This window comes from Homo sapiens, chromosome 1, assembly GCF_000001405.40.
Source record: "Homo sapiens chromosome 1, GRCh38.p14 Primary Assembly".
Lineage (NCBI taxonomy): Eukaryota > Metazoa > Chordata > Mammalia > Primates > Hominidae > Homo > Homo sapiens.
Window position 1 is genome coordinate 62,342,424 of NC_000001.11, and position 16,255 is coordinate 62,358,678.

Genomic DNA, 16,255 nt, shown 5'->3' on the forward strand with positions numbered 1-16,255 from the left:
CATATCTATCTACCCATTTGCTCTTCCACCCACCCAACCACTTAGCCACCCATGCATTCATCCACTCACCCACAGATCTATTCATCCATCCATCCATTCATCCATCTACATATCCACCTATCCATCCACCCATTCACCCATCCACCCATCCAGATATCCACCTATCCATCCACCCATTCACCCATCCATCCATCCATCGACCCATCCATTTATTAATCTAACTAATAGCCTCGATTTTCTTTCTTATTTATAAAATGAAGAAAGTTGATACAATATTTAAGTGATATAGAACATGTTAACTACCTGACATAAATAGGTTAATTAATGTTTATGCAATGGATGTCTTTTGCCTTTTTAAGGAGTCAATTTCAAGGCGATCTTATTCCTGTGGCCCAATCATGTTCCACAAACTCTGTCCTTTGGTTTATTGCTTTGAGAAACTGGAGTGATGAGGGTGTGTTGGGTCCTTTTTATTACCTGATGAGTCTCTCTGGCTCTTGGTTGTCCATGAAGAACAATAAGAAAATCCCAGGGAGAGACAGTGGGCAGAGGACCATAAGTAAAGTGAACAAAGGCAGGAGCAGCCACAGGCTTCCCCTCACTGGAGTCAGGCGTGGGGAAGGTGTCTGGGAAGCAGGAAGTTTAGGTTAGCTTCCCCACCTTCCCTGTAGGCTCTATCTCAGGAAGAGGAAGCTTGTCCAATGTGGAGCTATAAAAATCCTCATGTGGGGCTTTGATGTATCTTCTCTGCAGGGAGCTGGGGCCTAGTTCTAGGGGGAAAAGAAGGTGAAAATCTTAAGGCCTGGGTTTGGGCTGCTATGAAGAAAGCTGGCAAAGCTGTGGCCTGGACTGACTCCTGAAGATGATGGCAGTGAAAATTATTGTACCTGACATTTGTACAGCTGTTCACAGTTTGCACAGGATTTGCACATGTGCACGTGCCATGCCATCACACCCCTGTGTATCAGGAAAGACGGCCTTTTTTTTTTTTTTTTTTTGAGACAGACTCTCGCTCTGTTACCCAGGCTGGAGTGCAGTGGCGTGATCTCAGCTCACTGCAACCTCCACCTCCTGGGTTCAAGAGATTCTCCTGCCTCAGCCTCTCGAGAGTAGCTGGGAGTATAGGTGCATGTCACCAAGCCTAGCTAATTTTTGTATTTTTAGTAGAGATAGGGTTTCACCACGTTGGCCAGGCTGGTCTCAAACTTCTGACCTCAAGTGATCCGCTTGCCTCAGCCTCCCAAAGTGCTGGGATTACAGGCATGAGCCACCACGCCCGGCCAAGACAGGCATTTTTATACTCATCATAAAGACGAAGAAGCTAACACTCACTGTGACAACTGGCTACCCCCCAGGGCACCCAGGCTCCACCTCTGCTCTCCTGACTTTCCCTCCAGAACCCTCTCCCCTAATCTGGAGGTCCTCTTTTGAAATGGTCCCTAGACACTGGGAGAAAGTTACTTCACCATGTCTTGGGCAGTCTGTGACTTCCAAAATTGTGTGGAGAGAACTCTCTTAGTTTGGTTGCTGTTGTTGTTTAAGTTTTAAATTAATTAATTCAAATTGATTTTACAGAGTACCTGCCACAGGTACTCTGTACCTTTTCTTTTCTGGGAGCTCGGCATCGAGTGGTGTGAACTAACCGAATGCAGGCGGTTGCAATTCAGTGGATGGGAGCCAGGATTCGGGAACTGGCTGCTCTGGGAGCATGGAGTTACCTTGCCAATAACATCCCAAAGGTGACTCAGCAGCTGACAGGTAGGAGGGACTCAGGCAAAGGAAGAGAAGAGGGTCCTGGCAAGAGGAAACCCCACTTGCAAACACCAGGATGCAAAGAAGTGAGTGAGTTTGGCAAATTGAAGGAGGCTCAGTAGCTGGAGGGATGGATAGCCGGAGGCTGGAAGAAGGGGAATGGGGAGTGGTGAGACCCCAGGCCGGAGGAGGGCAGGGACCAATGCTGGAGGACCTCAGAGATCACATTGAGGAGTTGGTCTTCATCCTAGGAGCAATGGGAAGCACCTGGAAGGTTTTAGCAGGAACTTTAGATGGCTACGTTTGTGTCTGACTGAAGTGTGAAGAATGGGTTGGAATACAGGAGAAATGAAGGCCTGTGCCAGTAGATTTTTGTTTTTCTGGTTTTTTTTTTTTTAAACATGTCTTCACCACTAGATTGAGAACACTTGAAAGTTAGAGAATGAGTCAAAAAAAAAAATATGGTCCTGAGATGTCCAGGGCTCCTGCAGAAGCATGCTTCTGGGAGAGACAAGCCTTTACAATCACTGCTAGGTTGGGTGCCCACTATGTGCCAGGCAGAGCTTAAGTAGACCCAGGCCCACCCTCAAGGGGCCCACAATCTAGTGTAGTATTATAGACAAAGAAGCCCCATCCAGGAGTGTGCACCAAATCCTATGCAAGCACCCGTACCGGCATGACAGGGTCCCTAGAGATCAGGAAGGCTTCTCAAGGGAGGTGACATCTGAACTGTGTCTTGAAGCATGGAGAAGAGTTTGGTGGTGGTGGCTAATTTTTGGTCAAAGAACAAAGATCTCAACTTTCTTAAAGGACAGTAAATCAAGAGGTTATTTCTGTCCCTTTCTAAGGAGAAAATCTTTTCAGATAGGGCTGGCAGGGTCAGTGATATGAATATCAGCTTCACAGCAGAGCTGATCAAAGCTGGTGGCTGATCAGTGGCATGTTGGGAGACTTCACCAGGACTGCCCCATGCCTGAATTCCTCACCCATCTTGTCCCACCTCAGCTCCAACCTGACAGCACTGGGACTTAAGTCTGTTCTGTCCTGACATATTGTTAATATAAACATGTGAAGGAAACGTGGTGGAGCATTGCCGTTAAGAGCAGATGGAGGCTGGGCGCGGTAGCTCATGCCGGTAATCCCAGCATTTTGGGAGGCCAAGGCGGGTGGATCACTTTAGGTCAGGAGTTCGAGATCAGCCTGGCCAACATGGTGAAACCCCGTCTCTACTAAAAATACAAAAATTAGCCGGGCATGGTGGTGGGCGGCTGTAATCCCAGCTACTCAGGAGCTGAAGCATGAGAATGGCTTGAACCCGGGAGGCAGAGCTTGCAGTGAGCCAAGATCGTGCCACTGCACGCCAGCCTGGGCAACACAGCGAGACTCAGTCTCAAAAAAAAAAAAAAAAAAAAAAAAAAAAAAGAGTAGATGGACCTGGCTTCACATCAGGGCTCTGCCATTTGAAGTTGCTAGGCAAGTCACCTTAACTTCCCTAGACCTTCAGTTTCCTCATCACATAATAAGAGTAATAGCAGTGCATTCCTGCATCATGGCATTGGTGGGGAGATTCCTGTACCAGTTGTGCAGTCATGGGGTCTCAGCTCCAAACTCTTCTGTACTCTGCTTTGTGCTGCTGGGCCTGGGGCTCTACAAACCCCATTTCTACTCAGCCAGCTGACTCCCTCTGAAATTCTGCCAGTCGGGGTGCTAGAGAGAGCCACGCAATTGGAGGGGAAAACAGACTTGCTCCTTCTTGTATGTGTCCTGTGGGCTTCTTGTCTATTTTCCTTCCAGGAGTAGCACCTCAGCAGTGCCTTTTAACCCTGGCAGCAGCAGGGCTTCCCCATAGCAATAGCTGAAGCCAGTTTGCAGTTTTTCCAATGCTAGCAGAACCAGCTTCAGCACATCCAACTCAGAGACATCAGCACCAGACTAGCAGTATCCCCTCCTCAGGGCTCTGAGTTTCAGCTCAGAGTCCTCCCGTGAAACCTCTAAATGTTCATCATTCTAACTTTTCCCCAGTGAGGCCTATCCCTAGGATGATCGCGGCTTCCTACTGTTGCTGTCTCTATTATTCCTTATAGTTCTTGTTTGTCTGAATATAGCCTGAAGGTTTGTGTCCCTCCTAAAATTCAGGTGTTGAAATCCTAACCCTCAAAGTGGTGGTATTAAGAAGTGGGGCCTTTGGGAGAGGACTAGGTCATGAAGGTGGACCCCTCATGAATAGGATTAGTGTCCTTATAAAAGACCTCAGAGAGCTGCCTTGCCCCTTCCACTGTTTGAGGACACATGGAGAAGATGCCGTCTATGAGCCAAAAAGCAGGACCCTCACCAGACACCGAATCTGCTGGTGCCATCATCTTGGACTTCCTAACCTCTAGAACGGTAATAAAGAAATTTCTGTTGTTTACGAACTATCCAGTTTATGGTATTTTGTTGTAGCAGCCCAAATAGACCAAGTCAGTTCTTGTTTTTTTTTCCCAGTTACCTAGTTAACACTTTATACCTATTTAGCGATCCTTTACATGACATTCACTTTGTGCAAGAAACCGATGTGGTCTCTATCTCCTGACTGTCATAACTAATTCAGATTTCTGTGAAATATTTGGTTCATACTAAACTCTCAATAAATGCTTCGTGTTATTATGCCTTTATGCCTAATGTATATTCACTTATTCATCTATGTTGGTTTCCTGTGGTGTTTCAGGCCCCGTGTGAGGCATTGGGGTGCAGAGCTGCAGAAGACGCAGTCCAGGCCTCATGGATCTCACAGTCGGAGTGGAGGAGACCACCAAGGACAAAGACCACCTGGAAGAGTTCTCGGTATCTCTTCCCAGAAACTCTCTTTGCTGGCTTCACTGCCTAGTTGCTCCCAGATTTCCCAGAATCCTGATGTCCAGCCACACAAGCATTCCCTGTCTGGCACATTTTCAAACACCTGTGTTTGACAGGCCTCCACAAATAATACTTATGGTGAGGATAAGTGGATAGTATTTGATGTTATTACTATTATTTGCACATCTTACCATCCTTCTTAGATGGTAAATTACTCAGGACTGATTTCCCCAAATGGCTCATTTCTGTATCAGCTTAAAGGCCCAGCAGAGTACCTAGGACATGAGAAGATATCCAAAAACAGATGGCGAATGAATTAATTCATCTAACAAATATTCTTTGAGCTTTTACTCTGAAGCAGGCACTGAGCCAGGTTATCAGGGGCACAAGAACAAAGAAAGGCAACAGGGTCCCTGCCCCTAATGAATGGATGTCTGACTCGCTGGCTGAAACTGGCCAGCCTCGGAGGACCCAGACCTCCATGGGGCTGGAAGTGGTGCCATCATCTTGGTGTGACACAGACTTCCTGGATGTCCTCTGCCTCCTTCCTGTGGAGCTGGCTGAGCTCTGGGGAGATGGCTGCCCACTGTGGTTTACCTGATGTCCTGAACACTCTCAGCTGGCAGCCAAAGGCTATATTTAAATAGCAAACATTTGCATTTTTAATGTTGACTGGAATTGGAAAGGCAATGATAACCTTTCTAAGCTGATATTGGTTTTTACATGATTGAAACAGGCCGGGCCTGAGGCATTTCTTAAATGGAAAATTTGAAGTATTTTCAATATCAGTGAGAGTGCAGAACCATCTTGAAACACTGTGCCTGTTTGGATTTTCAGAAAATGTCACCTCCCTCCCTTGAGCACACTCAGCACCTTCGCCCTGTTCACATTTCAGGGTCATTCCTTCATTGGGTCCTCCTAACCCTCTGAGAGGGTAGACAGCCTGAGGCCTGTGTCACTGGCGAGGAAGAGTTTAGGGAAGCCCAGAGGGCAGTGGAAAGGGCTCTGGCCTTAGAACTGGCTCCGAGTACCTTCCCTACACCTCACCACTCGGGTCTTCCTAAGCCTCCTTTTCTCACCTGTAGCATAGTAATATAAATGCCTGTTTCGTGGTGTATTAGTTCGTTTCCACACTGCTATAAAGAAATACCTGAGGCCAGGCACAGTGGCTCACGCCTGTAATCCTAATACTTCCGGAGGCCGAGGCAGGCAAATCACCTGAGGTCGGCAGTTCGAGACCAGCCTGACCAACATGGAGAAACCCCGTCTCTACTAAAAATACAAAAGTAGCTGGGCATGGTGGTGCATGCCTGTAATTCCAGCTACTCAGGAGGCTGAGGCAGGAGAATCGCTTGAACCCGGGAGGCAGAGGTTGCAGTGAGCTGAGGTCACGCCATTGCACTCCAGTCTGGGCAACAAGAGCAAAACTCCGTCTCAAAAAAAAAAAAAAAAAAGAAATATTTGAGACTAGGTAATTCATAAAGAAAAGAGGTTTTAATTGACTCACAGTTCTGCATGGCTGGGAGGCTTCAGGAAACTGACAATCCAATCATGGCGGAAGGCCAAGGGGAAGCAGGCACCTTTTTCACAAGGTGAGAGGAAAGAGACAGACAAGGAAGAGGAACTGCTAAACACTTATAAAACCAGCAGATCTCATGAGAACTCACTCACTATCATGAGAACAGCATGGGGGGAACCACCTCCACGATCCCATCACTTCCCACCATGTCCCTCCGTTGACACGTGGGGATTACAATTCAAGATGAGATTTGGGTAGGAACACAGAGCCGTGCTGTTCAAATGTGCTCATCTGTAAAAATGCTTACCACCCCACACCTGGCACTTTGCTAATGCTCAAAGGTCATTAGTTCTTGTCCCTCCCCTGGCAGAGACCTGCCTAAGGTAACACGTCAAAATCAAGTGAGAACTGTAGGCTCCTGGCTCCCAGACCTCTTTCCAAGAGGCTGGGGACACAGATTAAGACATGCACAGCTGGGTTAAAGCAGAAGGACTCATTTTCATCATTACTTTATTCTGACTACCATCATTAACAAAATATGCCATGACATCCTGTCTGAAGACTTCTTGGCAACTGTATTTTCCTCCTGTTTTTGTTGTAGTAAAAGTTGTTGCATTGTTCCATATGCTCAATAGCCACGTGTAGCTATTTAAGTCTAAATTAAAATTAAACACAATTTAAAATTCAGTTCCTCAGCCACAGTAGCCGTATTTCAAGGGCTCAGTGGCCACATGTGGCTAGCAGCAACCAGTGCAAATATAGGACATTTCCATCATTACAGAAAGTACTAGTGGGCACTGCTAAGTGAGAGAGGAGGGGAAGGGAGGGGAGGGGAGGCGAGGAGAGGAGTGGGGAGGAGCGAAATGGGGAGGGGAGAGAAAGAGAGGGGTGGGGAAGGGAGGGGAGAAGAGGGAAAGGGAGAGAAGGGGAAAGGGAGGGAAAGGGAGGGGTTGTGGGGGAGAAGTGAAGAGGGGAAGGGGAAAGGAGAGGAGGGGGAAGTGGGGAGGGGAAGGGGAAGGGAGGGGTTGGGAGGGGAGAAGTGGGGAGGGGAGGGGGAAGGGAAGGGAGAGGAAGGGAGGGAGGGAGGGGAGAGAAAGGGAGGGGAGAGGAGGGTAGGGGAGGAGAGAGGAGGGGAGGGGAGGTGACCTATGAGATTCCTACTGCTGCTGTAGCAAATTACTAAAATCCTAGTGGCTGAAAAATCACAAATTAATTATCTTAAAGTTCTGGATATCAGAAGTCCTAAAATCAGTTCTCCTGGGCTAGAATCAAGGTGTTGGCAGTGCTGGTTCATTCAGAGGTCCAGGAGTCCATTTCCTTGCTTTTCCAGCTTCTAGAGGCCATCAGCACTCCTCAGTTCATGGCCCCTCTGCTATCGCTCCAACCTCTTACAACTAACTCCAGTCTTGTTCTCTCTTATAAGGATTGTTGTGATCATATCAGGCCCACCTGGATAATCCAAGATAACCACCCAATCTCAAGATAATTAATTTAATCACATCAGCAAAATCTCTTTTGGCATATAAGGCAGGATTTACAAGTGTCAGGGATTAGAATATGGACATCTTTGTGGGGCCATTATTTGGCCTACCACAGATGGAGAGAAGAGGAGGGGAAAGGGAAGGGGAAAGGAGAGGACAAAAGAGGCAAACTGGTTTTCCAGAGCATTCCTCATTCACACACATCCTTGCACGTGTTCATCTAGGTGTGGAAATCCATCTCTGATATTTGCACATTCTGATGGAAGAGGAAAATTCTCTTCTCTGAGAGAATCAGTGCTTGAGAACTTTTTAAATTTAGTTCAACTCAACAAATATTATCGTTTAAAACTCAGATGTGATCATTTCATTCCCTGCTTAAAATAGATGGGTGATTCTTCACAACCTACTCTAAAAGCCCCAAACCATCAACATGCAAACACACACGGGCAAATGCCTCACTGGGCCTGCCAACCCACCTTCTCTGATCTACCTTGCACTTTGCAATCCTTGCCTTAGCTCCTGCTGAACCCATGGCCTGGGATACACGGAGGGCATAGCTTTACCTGTGGACACTGGGCAAAACACAGCTCAGAGGTTTTCTCCTCCCTGCTGCCTTCGCAAGCTCTGCTAGACTGATGTTCTCATCTGTGACCAGCATTTTATTTATCCGTTTTTCAGAGCATTTGCCCGGTTGTGCCATCTCTCTCCCCCACTTTCTGTCCACTGTATTCCCCATAATCAATGGTGATTCTCAAACTCCGTGTGTAGGAAAGACTAGTAACTTTTTGTTTTTTGTGTGTGTGTTTTGTTTTGTTTTGTTTGTTTGTTTGTTTTTCTGAGACAGAGTCTCACTCTGCTGCCCAGGCTTGAATGTAGTGGCACAATCTTGGCTCACTGCAGCCTTCGCCTCCCAGGCTCAAGTGATTCTCTTGCCTCAGCCTCCTGAGTAGCTGGGATTACAGGCGCGGGCCACCACACCTGGCTAATTTTTGTATTTTTAGTAGAGATGGGGTTTCACCATGTTGGCCAGGCTGGTCTCAAACTCCTGACCTCCAGTGATCCATCCACCTCAACCTCCCAAAGTGCTGGGATTATAGGTGTGAGCCACCATGCCCGGCCAAGACTAGTATTTTTTGTTGCTGTTTAGTTTTCATTTCAAAAATTTCCGCCAGGTGCGGTGGCTCACGCCTGTAATCCCAGCACTTTGGGAGGCCAGCGCGGGCGGATCACGAGGTCAGGAGATCGAGACCATCCTGGCTAACACGGTGAAATCCCGTCTCTACTAAAAATACAAAAAAAATTAGCCGGGCATGGCGGCGTGCACCTGTAGTCCCAGCTGCCGGGGAGGCTGAGGCAGGAGAATGGCGTGAACCTGGAAGGCGGAGCTTGCAGTGAGCCGAGATCGCGCCTCTGCACTCCAGCCTGGGCGACAGAGTGAGACTCCGTCTCATAAAAAATAATAAATAAATAAAAATAAAAATAAAAAATAAAAATTTCCAATCCATTGCATACAGATGATTTTGTAAAATAAAATGAAAGACATAGGTGCAAAATATAAGCCTTTGTCTTTGTTAAAAGAAAAAGCAGACATATAAAAAGCAAGCTTTATTTTATTATTATAGTCAAATTGCTGTAAGGATTTCTAAACCCTTCTTCTCAATTTCTGTACTTTTAGCTTCTTTGACCAGTAACAGTTTTCAGACCACACAGGTCTCTGGGCCGCACCTGAAGGAGCACTGTCCTCTAGCCCCCGAGACGACTCTGCACTTGGGCAGCACTTGATCCGCTTTAGGGAACCCATTTGAATTTCCCTGCCAAGTGTTCTGCCAGGTGTCCGAAGGGATGGGATGCGTAGAAGAGTGGTCCTTGTGGAGAGGCCCTCAGAATGAGGAGGTCCCTTCTGGTGATATTCACAGGCAGATGTGGTTGTGGTCCCAGTTGTGCTATCTAAGCAGCTTCAGGACCCTGGGTGTGTCACCTGAATGTGGCCTTGACCTGAAGCTAGACCAAGGTTCTGTTTTTTTTTTTAGACGAAGTCTCACTCTGTCACCCAGGCTGGAATGCAGTGGTGTGATCTCAGCCCACTGCAACATCCACCTCCCAGGTTCAAGCGATTCTCCTGCCTCAGCCTCCCAAGTAGCTGGGATTATAGGCACACACCACCATGCCCAGCTAATTTTTGTATTTTTAGTAGAGACGGGGTTTCACCATGTTGGCCAGGCTGGTCTCGAATTCCTGACCTCAAGTGATTCACCTGCCTTGGCCTCCCAAAGTGCTGGAATTACAGATGTGAGCCACCATGCCCAGCCTAGACCAAGGTTCTTAAGCTCTCTGTGCCATGGACTGCTTTGATAGTCTGGGGAGGCCTAGGGACCTCTTCTCAGGTAGCCGGAGAAGGAAGCCTGCCTCTCTAAATCCTTCCTGGTGCTAGTTGGGAGGGGCCTCATTCCATTGAGGGACCGTGACTCCAAGTTTCAAGTACTGACTTCAGTAAACAGGGTGGCCCACAGAGGAACCGGGAGCAACTGGGAAATATGCATGGCACCTACTGTAGTGGACAAACGGGAGAGAAGCCAGGAGCAGAACTGTTAGCCTGTAAGTTAAAGAAAAGTGCCCTATGAAAGGGGAACTTTGTGCCTTAGTGTCTAGATTGCAATATTCTGTACCTTCCCCCACCACATCCCTCTACACTGTGAGCTTTTTTTTTTTGAAATAGGGTGTCACCCAAGCTAGAGTGCAGTGGTGTGATCACAGCTCACTGCAGCTTTGATCTCCCAGGCTCAAGCAATCCTCCCACCTCAGCCTCCTGAGTAGTTGGGACCATAGGCACATGCCACCACACCTAGTTAAGTTGGTTTTGTTTTCTGTGGGTTTTGTTGTTGTTGTTGTTTTGAAAGACAAGATCCCACTATGTTGACCAGGCTGGTCTAGAACTCCTGGGCTCAAGCAATCCTGCTGCCTGGGCCTCCTTGTTGGGATTATAGACATTAGCCACCATGCCTGGCCACTGTGAGCTTCTTGAAAACAGAAAAAAAATTCCTTATTATCATCAATATCCCCAGTGTCCAGCCCAGGGTCTGGCACACAGGAAACCCTTAATAACTATCTGAAGGATGATGAAAAGAAAGGAGAGTGGCCAAAGTCATCCTGAGCAAAAACAACAAAGCTGGAGGCATCACACTACCTTATGATGAGTAAGCTTCAGGGACAGTGTGCAGGGTCACAGAGCACAAAGTCGCAATTCTGCCTAGGAGGTGGGCAGCCAGGGCTGGAGGAGAGGGGAAAGGCCTCATGGAGGTGACATTTGTGCTGGTCTTTGGGTCTGCTGGCGTGGGCAGAGGAGAGGGGGAAGGATGGGAGTCAAGAGGCTAAAAGGAGGAAAGGCAGGAAAGGGAAGCTTGTTTGGAGAATGGCAGGGTGACCACCTGACCGGAATTTCAGGGGCTTGGGGGACGGTGGCAATGGGAGTGACAGGAGGAGTACACGAGGTGACTCTGGAGGGGCCAGCAGGCAAGCGGGGAGCCCTGAAAAGTTTTCAAGCAGGAAAGTGGAAGGATCACAACTGTCCTTTAGAAAGATGACAGTGCCAGGTGAAGAGACAATGAATTGGAGGGAAGAGAGGCTGTAGGGAGGGAAAACACTTTCCCTAAATCAGGCAAAAGACTGTGGCAAGGGCAGAGATGGTGGAATGGGGGGGAAAGGGATGGAGCCGAGAGCCGTTTCTGATAACAGGGTTTGTGAACACTGTCCCCCATTTTCCCGTGCACACATCCTCCTGAGTGAAGTTTCAAGTTTGGATGACAAAATAGATGTTGATGCCATTCCTTAAGAGAGGGGACTCAGGAAGTACTAAGTTAAGGGCCAAAAGGACGAATTCCATTTTGGACATTCTCACAGGACAACTGGGAAGATGCCCAGTTTCAGCTGGAAATACAGATCTGAAGCTGAGGAGAGTGGAGTTGAGAGTCCTCAGGGTGTAGGCAGTAATGGGGGCCATGGGGATGGACAAGCAACTCCAGGATAATTGGGGACTGCAGGGTGGCCCACACTGAGCAGTTACAAACTAGCACCTGTTGCAGTGGATAAGACAAAATGTCCGAATATGTGACAGAAATAGTAAGTTATGTTGTCAGGAAGACGAGGGATGACAAACAGCTGGAATTGCTAAAAAAAAAAAAAAAAAAAAAATTCTTCCTGGAGAAGGTGGCTTGAAGAGAAATAGCAGGATGCACAGGATTAGGAGGCAGGAAGGAGGGAGGGGAGGATTTTGGATGGGTTTTGCTGGTGGCGGAGCAGGGAGCGTGGCCACAGGGCACTGAGGGTGCATGCTGCAAAAATACAGCCCCAGGATGGCGCAGCTAGAGAAAGAAACAAGGAATTGATTCAGAATCCACTTTGAGGAAACTGGTCTCCATGGTTGCCTCTGGGGAGAGGAAATGGGAGTCCAGAGGGTAGGCTGAGAAGGAGACATCTCTCTATATCCTTTTGCAACTTCTGGGTATTTTTACCTTGTACACCAATTACCTTTTTTCAGGTTTAAATAAATGGTTTGGGCCTGATGCTGTGGCTTACGCCTGTAATCCCAGCACTTTGGGAGGTGGAGATGGAAAGATATCTTGAGACCAGGAGTTCAAGCCTAGCCTGGGCAACATAGCAAGACCCCATCTCAATTATACTAAAAAATAATAATCATCGTTAAAAAAAAAACAAAACTTTTGGTTTTGGCAGACCAAGCGGTGAGTCTGGTGCCAGAGGAAATCAGGTAGATCCCAAGAGTAAAGGTCAGATTCCTGGCCTTCCTTTCAGGCATGAGAGCAGGACCAGTCTCTGACTGAGGGACCAGCGTTAGTGGCTGTAGCTCTGAGTAATCCTCAAATGGCTTTTTTTTTTTTTTTTTTTTTTTTGAGACGGAGTTTCACTCTTGTTTCCCAGGCTGGAGTGCAATGGCGTGATCTTGGCTCACTGCAACCTCTGCCTCCCAGGGTCAAGCGATTCTCCTGCCTCAACCTCCTGAGTAACTGGGATTACAGGCATGTGCCACCACGCCCGGCTAATTTTACACTTTTAGTAGAGACGGGGCTTCTCCATGTTGGTCAGACTGGTCTCAAACTCACGACTTCAGGTGATCCTCCCGCCTCGGCCTCCCAAAGTGCTGGGATTATAGACGTGGAGTCACCGCGCCCGGCCCAGACAGCTCTTTTACATGAATTTGGTTGAGTAAGTGAATGAGCAATCCAGAGAGCAGATGAGGACAGAATGAGAAGTGGCTGGACACTGGAGCTGGCCAGCTTCCAGGGACATAGAAGTATGCCCCCGAGGTGGACTGATGAGCCAGTGCTGGATCCTAATCTTATGACTTGTGTGACTGGGGCCAGGTGATGTTGCAGGAACAGTGCTGAAACCTCATGTTTTACTGTATTAGTCCATTCTCACATTGCTATAAATAAATACCTGAGACTGGGTAATTCATAAGAAAAGAGGATTAATTGGCTGACAGTTCTTCAGGCTGTACAGGAGGCATAGCAGCATCTGCTATTGGGGAGGCCTCAAGAAGCTTCCAATAACGGGGGAAGGTAAAGGGGTAGCAGGCATATCACATGGTGAAAGCAAGAGCAAGACAGAGCCACAGGGAAGGTGCTATCAGATCTCACAAGAACTCACTCACTATCACAAGGACCACACCCAGGGGATGGTACTAAAACATTCATGTGAAACCTGCCCCCATTATCCAATCACCTCTCACCAGGCCCCACCTCCAACATCAGGGATTACATTTCGATATGAGATTTGGGCGGGGACACATATCCAAACTATATCACTTAGATAGAGTTGTTGTGAGAGTTAAATGAGATCAACATCATGACCATCAAACATTTCTGATGACTTACTATGTGCCTGGCATTGAGCTAATTACTCACATAGTTTAATCCTCACAAAAATCCTATGAGACGATTGCCATTATTATCCCCGTTTTACAAATATAGGAAATAAGGGCCAGGCGAAGTGGCTCACGCCTGTAATCCCAGCACTTTGGGAGGCCGAGGCAGGGAGATCATCTGAGGTCAGGAGTTTGAGACCAGCCTGGCCAACATGGCAAAACCTCGTCTTTACTAAAAATACAAAAAGTAGCCGGGTATGGTACTGGTGTGCCTGTAATCCCAGCTACTTGGGAGGCTGAGATAGGTGAATCACTTGAACCCAGGAGGTGGAGGTTGCAGTGAGCTGAGATAGCACCACTGCATTCCAGCCTGGGTGACAGAGCAAGACTCTGTCTCAAAAAATATATATATAAATAAATAAATAAATAAATAAATAAATAGGAAATAAGGCACAGAGAAGTTTACTGATTTGTCTAAGATCACACAGTAAGAAAGTAGCTAACCAGGATTGAAACCTAGGCTCTCTAACTCCAGAGTTTAGTTTCTATGTGAAATAACTCACTTAGCCCAGGGTGAAACACACATAGAGCATCAGTCAGGGTAGGCCAGGTAATGCTGCAGCAACAAACAATGCTGAATCTCAGTAGCATTCCACACAGAGGTTTATTCCTCACTTATGCCAGATGTCTGGTGCAGGGTGGCAAGTATGGCTCATGAGAGTGACTCATAGACACAGGGGAGGGAGGCTTCAGCTTGAGTGCTTCTGCAATCACTGAAACAGGAGAAGGGCAGGGGAATTCTTTCCATCCAATATGACACATATCACTTCTGCTTTTCTTTCATTTGCCAAAGCTAAGGCAGTGGGGAGGTCAAATTTGACTTTATGTCCTGAAGGCGAGAACCAAAATATTCATTAACAGCCCTAATGATTGCATTTATGCACCCATTGAGTATTGACTGAATTGAAGTCGAATGACTAGTTCAGAGAGAGATGGAGAGAACTCTGTCTCAGCCAGCTGGATTTATAGAGTTTTTGAGAGTTCACAAACATAAGCACTATCAATCCTGCCCTGAAGGCCGCCGGAGGACCACTGCTTCACCATTTCTGTGTGTCAGGCATTTCTCTGAGAGGTCTGCATGTTGCCAAGACACCATAAAGAATTCTGATTACAGGTCAAAGCATCCCAGGAAAATATAATTATTATCTTCCAACCACTGTCATTTATCCGTTCGCCCCATCCCAGACCACCCTTTTGTGATGGCTTTTTCCTTTTGCCCTTTTTATGATTTCTCTTGTCATATTCTTTTATAAACTCACATGAGGCACACACAGAAATATGGCAAACTTGTACACTACAAAATTTTTTTTCTTTCTTTTTTTGAGACAGGGTCTCGCTCTGTCACCCAGGCTGGAGTGCAGTGACATGACCGTGGATCACTGCAGCCTCAAACTCCCAGACCTGAGCAATCCTCCCACCTCAGCCTCCCAAGGTGCTGGGATTATGATTGTGAGCTGCTGCCCCCAGCCAGGAAATTTTCTAAACCATCTGTAAGTGTACATTTCAGTGGCAGTAATTACATTCACAATGCTGTGCAGGCCTCACCACTGTCTATTCCCAAAACATTTTTATCACCCCATATAAAAACCCTGTACCCATTAGGCAATAACTCCTGATTAAGGTAGAAATTTTTATACTCACTTTAAAGATAAGGATATTTAGGATTAAGAACTTTGCCCAGCATTACACAGGAAATAAGTGACAGAGACAGGATTTCTGACTTTGAAGCCAGTGGTCCTCTTGCAGCAGTCAAAGCCTCTCTAGAAGATCCCTATCTGATCACTCATAGAAGGGCAGTGCGGACCATCTATTCGAGGTGGAGTGCGGTTCCTAAACTTGGGAGTGCCCCTTCAGTGGTCTGAGGAATAGACAGTCCTTCATTCACTCAACAGCATTCCAAGACATTACTGAATTACTGAGTGCCTATTAGTACTGGAGATTCAAAGATGAATAAAACTCTATGCTGCAGAAGCTCACAGCTGAGAGAAGTTACCGAGCTGTTGCTCATTTTCTCCAAAATCGTTTCCCTTCTTGTTTAGTAAAAAAACAAACCAATAAAAAAAAAAAAACACAGATTTTTAGCTGGGTTCATGGCTCCCAGGTGCAAGACTACATTTTTCAGTCTCTCTTGTAACTGGCTATGGCTGCGTGACTAAGTTCTGGAAAATGGCCGATGAGCATAAGTGGTATGTGAAACTTCTCGGGGAGTGTTTGCAAAAGACCAGGGAGGAATACCCTTCCTTCTTTACCTCCCCCTTTATCCCACTCCCTACTGTCTAGAATCAAACTGCAATGGCCGGAGCTTGGGCAACCATCTTGGATCAGGAAGGATAACCCATTGACTGAGGATGGAAGAACAACAAGATGGAATAAGCCTTAGTTCTTGACAAGGTGGGGGGTGCTGTGTCATCTTTAGGCTTCATATTTCTCATTTAGAAGAGAAAGAAAACAAGTTTCTATATTATATGTATCTGTTAGTTTTTGGTGAATAACAAACTACTTCAAAGCTAATGGCCTGGCCGGGCAGGGTGGCTCACGCCTGTAATCCCAGCACTTTGGGAGTCCGAAGCGGGCGGCTCGCCTGAGGTCAGGAGTTTGAGACCAGCTTGGCCAACATGGTGAAACCCCATCTCTACTAAAAATACAAAAAATAGCCGGGCATGGTGGTGGTTGCCTGTGATCCCAGCTACTTGGGAGGCTGAGGCAGGAGAATCCCTTGAACTGGGGAAG

General features: G+C 47.0%; 1 annotated feature.

The window, feature by feature from the left end:
• Positions 8,889–9,389: an enhancer, noted in NCBI's record as "H3K4me1 hESC enhancer chr1:62816983-62817483 (GRCh37/hg19 assembly coordinates)". NCBI's record gives its function as "activates a minimal SCP1, AML or CMV promoter by ChIP-STARR-seq in primed H9 embryonic stem cells {active_cell/tissue: H9 hESC(primed)}" and the evidence as "EXISTENCE:reporter gene assay evidence [ECO:0000049][PMID:30033119]".